Source organism: Homo sapiens, chromosome 2, assembly GCF_000001405.40.
Source record: "Homo sapiens chromosome 2, GRCh38.p14 Primary Assembly".
Classification (NCBI taxonomy): Eukaryota; Metazoa; Chordata; class Mammalia; order Primates; family Hominidae; genus Homo; species Homo sapiens.
The window spans coordinates 145,881,681-145,889,900 of NC_000002.12; positions in this window are offsets into that span (position 1 = coordinate 145,881,681).

Genomic DNA, 8,220 nt, shown 5'->3' on the forward strand with positions numbered 1-8,220 from the left:
TAAAAATAAAAATTATATATATATATTTTTTTTTAATATATGAACTGCTCTCCTAATGCATACAAGCAGCACATATCCCCAAGTCTGTCCATTAATATAAAATGAACAGGAGTATTTTTCCAGCTGTCTGAAATTATCTCTTTATTTTTAATTCCATAAGCCTAAGGAAGGGCAAAGAGAGCACACTGGGGGAAGATGGAGTCACCGCAGCCACCTCCAAAACTAATCCTGAAAGCTTGGTATGCAGCACGGGACCTGGGGAAATACAATCAATACATGGGCCAGTGCTTTCTGTTGATTCACAGACTTGAAAAGAAAAAAGGAGAAAATAAAAAGCTTTAATAGCTCAAAAGTGGCTTAATGCAAAATATTAACATACCACAAAATGCATGCTCTGATAGAATTAAGGCGATCTTTTCAAGCTTTCTGTACTTGGCTGTCAGAGTCAGCATCCAGACCTCCCTGAAATATGAGGAGAAATCATTAACATCAGAAGCACATTTAAGGCTTGATGTTCCCTTTATTTTTGAAGCACAGGTCCTAAGCTCAGAACGTGGGAATCAGAAATGTTTTCCATTCACTTTGGCTATAAACAAAGCAGATTAACTTGGTGAATAATGTATACTCTTAATTCAGTATTTATTTCTTACATATTTAGACTCTCAAAAACATTGCTATTTTTATTTTGAAATAGTTACATAGAGATTGCCATTACTAATATCTGTCAGAAAACAAACTAAAGAACTCTCTAGCCTCATATATTAAAGACATTCACCTGTAACCTTGTCATTGTTCATATACACAAAGTAGGGGGTTATATTTTACGTAAAGCTATATTATGGTAATTTGTAAGAGTGCAATATAAAATATTAATGAATTCTCAGTTTTCATAAAAAATTTGAAATAATAAAATTTTATGTTTATTCCTATAGGAAAATTAGTTTTAAATGACATGAATTTCAAATTATGTGACATCTTCAAAGAAGCATTCTTTGCATAAAATATGACTGTACTTAAGTGTCTTGCTTTGCAGGACTAACTTATCTTTTATTAGGCATATTGATAGTCAAGTTGTGTAAGTTCAGAAACTATTCACCAGTAGATTCCAAAGTAGAAAGCATCACAAGAAATGTAGAAGCTGCCCACATTCAAAGTAATAAATCACCAGGATTCAAACTCACTTAGTAAGCTTACTTAAGCCATGTTAACTGGCTAGAATAAATTAGATTGATAATTTGGAGTAAACTTCTTCAAAAACTATTGGAAAGATCCTGTTCTGGATGAATGGGACTTATTTGCTTAATTGTTTGGACTGTAGGGCTACTTCGATGAGACAGTTAAAATGCTATGCCATAGGATAGGACTGTCAGCTTTCTCAAGGTCAACAATTTCTTTCCAGCCAGACATCTCCAAACTATGTGCCACCGGGGGTCGAAAGTCACTATTTGAGGGGTTGAGTAGAAAGACAATCACCAATCCAAGCAAGTTCTTAACATACAAATCAGTTGTATTCCAAAATCACATTTGTCAATTTTTGTCTGTAGAACTTAATTCTCATTTCCCCCCAAAAAATTGCTATATATTTTGAGAAGCTTTCACAGTGGTTCAGTTATTTGACCTACAACAGGTCCAATATTAATTATACTGTAACTGACATTCCCAATGCCTCACTATGGAAAACAAGTAAGTCCTATTAAAGTCCAATGAAGAAAAGTACCTTAATATTCTGCACTTTGTATCTCTGCCTACGTAATGCATGCAACAGGATGTTAAAATGGGAGTTTCTGCTGTGGCACCAAGCCTCCATACTGTATTACAAAGGAGATGTTAGACCATATGCAGAATTTCAAAATAGAAAGCCTTTCACTGACTTGGAGCTCCTTCCCATCCAATGAGAGATGAAAGGGTCAAGTAAATGGATATTAGGGAAAGGTGTGTATGAGCATTTTTTTAGAGAACAGCTGATGGGGTGTGAGCTCTGTTGCATACTCATATAGCTTGGATATTTGTCCCCACTCAAATCTCATTTTGAATTGCAGTCCCCAGTGCTGGAGATGAGGCCTGGTGGGTGGTGTTTGGGTCATGGGGATGGATCCTGCATAGCTTGCTGCTGTTTCCCTGATAGTGAGTTCTTGCGAGATCTAGTTGTCTAAAAGTGTGTGGCACCCTCCAGCCACCCCACCCCCTCTCTCTTGCTCCTGCTTTTGCCATGTGACATGCCTGTTCCCCTGTCACTTTCTGCCATAAGTAAAAGCTTCCTGATGTCTTCCCAGAAGCAGGTTGTGGCACTATGCTTCCTGTACAGCCTGCAGAACTATAAGCCAATTAAATTTCTTTCCTTACAAGATACTCAATCTCACGTATTTCTTTGTAGCAATGCAAGGGCAGCCTAACACACAGACCTTCCCTCTAGTGGTTTCAGGGGACAGTTCCTGCATCTCTCTGAGTGCTCATTGAGAGGGCATCAGTAACACCACCCAAAGAACAAAGACTGTGGTCCCTCAGTTAGGGACCTAGCAGATAAGTTCCTGAGTCCTGTCTAGAAAAGTAAAGTATCCTGCGGCAAAGAGGAGAGTGATGCATCAGTGAGGAACTGCACTCTCATCCAAAAAGCAGACAAAGTACATGAAGCTTAATTAAAATTAAATAAAATGGAAAATGTAGTTCCTCAGTCACACTAGCACATTTGAAATGCTCAACAGCCACATGTGTGTTAGACAGCATGGACATTGAACATACCCATCATCATAGAAATTTCTATTGAATATCCCTGCTCTAGACCCTGAGAAGCAATATTTTTAGGAACAGAAAGTAAAGATTCCCTATGAGAAATTCTGGGGATGATGTTGGGTTGGGCCAGCCTCTAACTTCCATTCCTTGTTTTCTAAATTCATGGAAATTATCTACTTGAAACAACTTAGAGCATATAACATTCTGGAAGATTGCGTACCATCCTAAACATGCAACAGCTTCAAGTAGACTCCTCAATTGTACCTTCAAAAGATTGATTAGCAGATTTTGGGTGGTGTGGGGTATGCTCAGGCCATAGTCATATGCCCATTGCTATAAAGTGGATCTCTTTTACAATGCAGTGTTCTGTACGTTTCTGTGTTAGTAGGATCAGTCACTGTCTAAACTCTTGGTTAGTGGTGCTGGCTGAGACAGGAAATGAAAACCTGTACCCAGAATACATGCAGTCCATGTCAAGATTAAGTATTGGCCTTCCTGCAGTAGAAAGAGTTAAAAATAAATCATTTACCACTAAATAGCAAGTTAGACTCCTCAAAGGATGATACTATAATGGGAGCTCAGAGTCTGTCTCTGGTGCTGGAACCTACTTATTGTCCAGAGATCAGCCTTGGTGAGTTGGAGCCCAAGATTTGAGCCCGTGAACATCCTCCATTGCTACCACCATGGTTACTCTGTTTATGAGCACATTTTGCCAGCTAGGGATAGAAGCTGGCTGAGTTATTCTGTCTAGGTGGTTACTTTTTAGCATTTTTCTTTGGAATCCCTTCTACTGAGCATTAATATGTAATGCAATAATTTTTACATTCATGTTTATTTCATAGGTCCATCTATCTGCTGCTTCCTCAGATCTTGCCACCAATCTTCCAATATTTTTCTTTCTGAGTGTCTTACCAACTAAACAAAACATTTGTTACTCACCGGTGATTTTATATGTAGTCTTATCACGAACCACTTCCCCTTCTACACAAAACAAATGATTAGGTATGCCAGCCAAACTCTGTAGTTTGGGAAGAGTTTTTCTCACCACTTTGTTCCAGGGATGCTCCTGTGCAAGGAAGTAATGCCCCAGCAATCCATATTCAATTTATATTAACATATGAAGCCGATCCATCCTGGGATTACTTTGTCCTCTGTCAGCCAGTCAAAAGGGTGGCTTGTCATACAGTCATAGGCATGAGCTGAAGGACAGAACAATTGGCACAGGGGAGCTTGATGTGGGGTATTCCAGGCCACCTGCTCATGCTGCTGATTTCTGCCTCTGGCCCCTCTTATGCTTTATCCTCCCTATTACACTGACATCTTATGATGGATTGTTGCTGAGCCCACCCAGTCTTATCATCTTTTGGTTGGACAAAACCCAGCTCATGATGTATAACCACACGGCCATGTGATCCCTCAGGAACAGCCTCTCAATCCCAGCCAAGACTCAATATAGGCTGGGACCTATTTTTTGAATGATATGTAGTACTTCCTTACAGATGACATGTTTCTTCTCAAGAAACCTGGGTCTTAAAGTTGAGGACCTCTTACTGGGACTTGCTATAAACACTACACTGTAATTTTCATAGTTCCTCCAGGACCATGACGTTTGCCAGATTATGTGGCCCAAGCAGCAAGATGGCTTGCACTTTGGCATAGACTTGTTCAAGGGCTCTTTCCTGTTCTGGACCCAATTCAAATTTGGCCGCCCTCCAAGTCACCAGGTAAAAGGGTAAAATGAGTATTTCCAGCTGTCAATTATACTGCTGTCAAAACCCAAAAAAGCCTACCAAGCCTTGTGCTTACTTCCTAGTGACTGTGTAAGATACAGTCTTTTGTCCTTCACTTATAGAGAGTAGGTCCGGGCATAACCCACTCCATGGAATTCCTGCAGCTTTAATCTTACCCCATGGAATGCATGTGCCACACCAAGGTCTCCAATGTATTCTCTGCTTCTTGGTTATCCAGTCTAATTAATCTGATACCACTGATACAGTGGACTAGGCATAGAGTTAAATTAGGCCTGAAGAAAAGCTGAAATGCATACTGCTGCCTGCCATGTAAATATGAACTGCTTTTTATCCTCCTTTCTCATAGTGATGAAAACAAATGCATATGCCAGATCAGTGGTCACACATCTTGTAGTGCAGTCAATTGGCTCTAGCAAACACGTTATAGTCAGTGCAGCAGCTCCAGTTGGGGCTACAACTTGGTTATGTTTGCAGTAGTTGACTTTCCTCTCCTAGTTTTCGCTTGTTTGTGTAAAACAGAGTTTTAAGTTATATAGTGATGTGATTGGAACTACCAGGCCTGCATCCTTTAAGTCATTAGAAGTGGTTTTAATCTCGGCCATTCTACCCAAGATTCAATATTGCTCGTGTTTTACTATATTGATTAAAGTTGGGTGTCAGTTTCAGAGGCTTTCACTGTGCCTTGCCCACTATGATGGCTCTTATCTTATAGGTCAGGAAGCAATATGGAGGTTTTCCTAACTATCCGGTGTGTACATTCCAATTGTACATTTGGACCATAGTAGGAAGTATTGAGTAGGTTGATGGACACAGTAGGCCCATTGTGAGCTGAGCATGGGTTTATTGCCTGAACGTTGTATGCCTCTACAAAACATAGAAACTATGGAATGCTTTGGGTCCCTATGTATTATTGTCAACTTAGACCCTGTGTCCAATAGTGCTTGAAATGTCTGATTTAGATAATGTACTTGGGATTAGGTGGCAATCTCTTCTTGCTTTGGTGGCCAAAGAGCAGTCCAAGTGGATGAAAGTGACTGTTCCCTCCTCTCCAGCCTCCTGCCCACCCACTGGTCAAGGTGCTAACTAGCAGGGACATGACATATGATGGGAGCTGCGTGCCAGGTGCTTGGGGTATGTTCTTTATCCCTCAGCCCTCCAGAGTCCAGTTGGCCTCTTGTGTGTTCCTGCTCTCCCCGTTTTCCTCCTCTCCACCACAGTGAGGCAGGGGTCTAAGGTGGGTCCTGGCCCTCCTCTTATGAACAGGCATGCTGAGGAGGTGAGCCTGTGGAGGGGGAGCTCCTATACACACCCCTGCCCTCCCACCTGCCTGACCCCTCTACTCCAGGCAGCAGAGGAAGCACATTTGTTGGTTTCAAATGCACTGTTCTGTTTGCAATGTCTTGTCTGTGTATTTCCTTCATCCTGGTCTTGGTTTTATTGAACATCATGCTTTTAGCATGTTTTTTGGCATGTTAAACTGATAACATCTCAAAAGCAGCAAATAAAGAAAAAAGAGTTATTACTATACAGACTTGCTATGGGATAGCAAGATCTTCCTCACGTGGCACCTGACCTCTTCTTTAGTCAGTCAGTTAGCTTGTGAGCTTCTGACCTTACATGATATATCCACTTTAGCATTCACACTTCTCTGAATTTTTTGATTTCCAACCCCCACCACCTTGTTCTGCCGTGGTAGTCAGCATTTGTGTTTCACTGTGTATGGGCCATTGATTTTTCCAAGTGTCTGAAAAACATCCAAGTAACATATTAGTATTATCTCTCTGAGTCCTTGCCAGGATGTTAAATGCTATATCATGGAAGAGTGCTCTTATATGGATAAACTCTCCCTTATCCAACTTTGTATTTCATCCCGTTTAATCCAGCATCCTCAATATCCAGTCTCACACATACTCTCTAGGCTGTTGTCAATATATGTTGGCTAAGACCCACAGCTGCAGCTGTCAGCATTTCTCAGCATTTCCCTGGACAGTATATTATTTGTGGTCTGTTGTTCAGGAGAAAAGGTGGTGGTAGATGCTAAAAAAAAAAAAAAAAAGAGGACACATTATAATGCAAAGCACAGGTCTCTACATTGTCTTCATCAAGAGAGTAGGGCTAGCTTTTAATAGGGAGAGTGAGCTACTTCTGCAGATTTAGAATGTACAAGAAGAGCAAAGGTTTCAAAATACTTGAGTGCATTAACCCAGATGTAACAATCCCAAATCTCAGAATCCCACTCCTTTAAACCACTACTTGAATTGTGGTGTAGCAGACGTTCTGTGGTTGAAAATTTCACCTTCTCTGGAGATCTGCTACCTATATTAGTAAGTGTTGGGCCTGATGCTTGGCTTGTTCTATCATCTGGCTATCAGGAATAACTCTATTTTTATATGATGCCAAAGTGTTTTGACATTCACCTTTTGTTTTACATTGTCAATAATCATTCTCAGACTATTTGTTGACTTACAGTAGAAGGAAACCATGGGAAAATAATACAATTTATTTAAAAATGCTTATGTGCAATTTGCATGTGTATTTAAATAGATTTCTTAATCTTAGCACTAAAGACACATTTATTCCTTGTTGTGGGGCTGCCTGAATTTTCTGGGATGTTTAGCAGTATTCCTTGCACCTATTCAGTAGATGCCAGTGGCACTCCCCTCCTCCTTGTAAGAACCAAAAATGTCCCTAGATATGTCTCTGGTTGAGTGTCACTGATTTAAAGTCATGTTCAGGTGTGGGTTTAGTTTAAGATGATTATACAAAGAAATTATTTCTAAAGTAGGCCAATCTTGTGTGCATGACATTTGAGGATGTAATTTATTTTATTTAATTGAAAATTAAATACTGAAAGAATGAGGAGTTAAGAGAGATCACATTAAAAAGAGAAAGCCTAGATGATTTCTCTAATGGGGAAAATTAATCATAGTATTAAGTATGTGTTAATCATATTTTTTTCTTGTTTCCTGTACCTTGTCCATGAGAGAAGAAAAAATAGAAAATTTTATGATGAATAAAAAATTAGAATCAAAAATTTTAATCTTAGGAAAGAAGATTAAGACTTCTGAGGAAAAAAGCCCTGAAATCTTTGAGAATTACAGAAACTTGATTCTCTCAAAACTTGGAATACTTTTCCGAGTATAACTGCACGACTGGGTCTTTGCTGTTGGATAATATCCAGTAACATGTGTTTGAAAATTTATTACAGGCAGGCACAGTGTTGAGCAAACATAAGGGTAAATAAGCCATGCCCCCTACCCTCAATAATAGTACAGTCCACAGCAGTGATTCTCAACTTGGCCATCCATTAGAATAAAGTGGAAAGTTTCCCAAAGTACTGTTGCTCAGATGGTACCTCAGACTAATTAAATAATAATCTCAGCTTAAACCAGAGTGTAGGCATCAGTAGTTTAAAAGCTTCTCAGGTGGTTTTAATTTGTAGCCAAGATTGAAAGAGAAATTTATAAACACACAAGTAAGATAAAACATGATAACTATTATAAAATAGAAGTAAATATCTGATGATATTGAGGCACTGAGAAATCAATACCAAGAAGCAAATTTATAGAAGTTTCATAAATTTGAATATTATCCCTATTGCAAAAGATATAGAAATAGAAGATATAATTTTTATTAAGGTATACAAAAAATGCCGGATGAGTAAATTTTAAGACCATGTTAAAGTACCACCCTTGACAGATGAGAAAAAATGAATAAAATAGTCTTTGGTACCAATCTG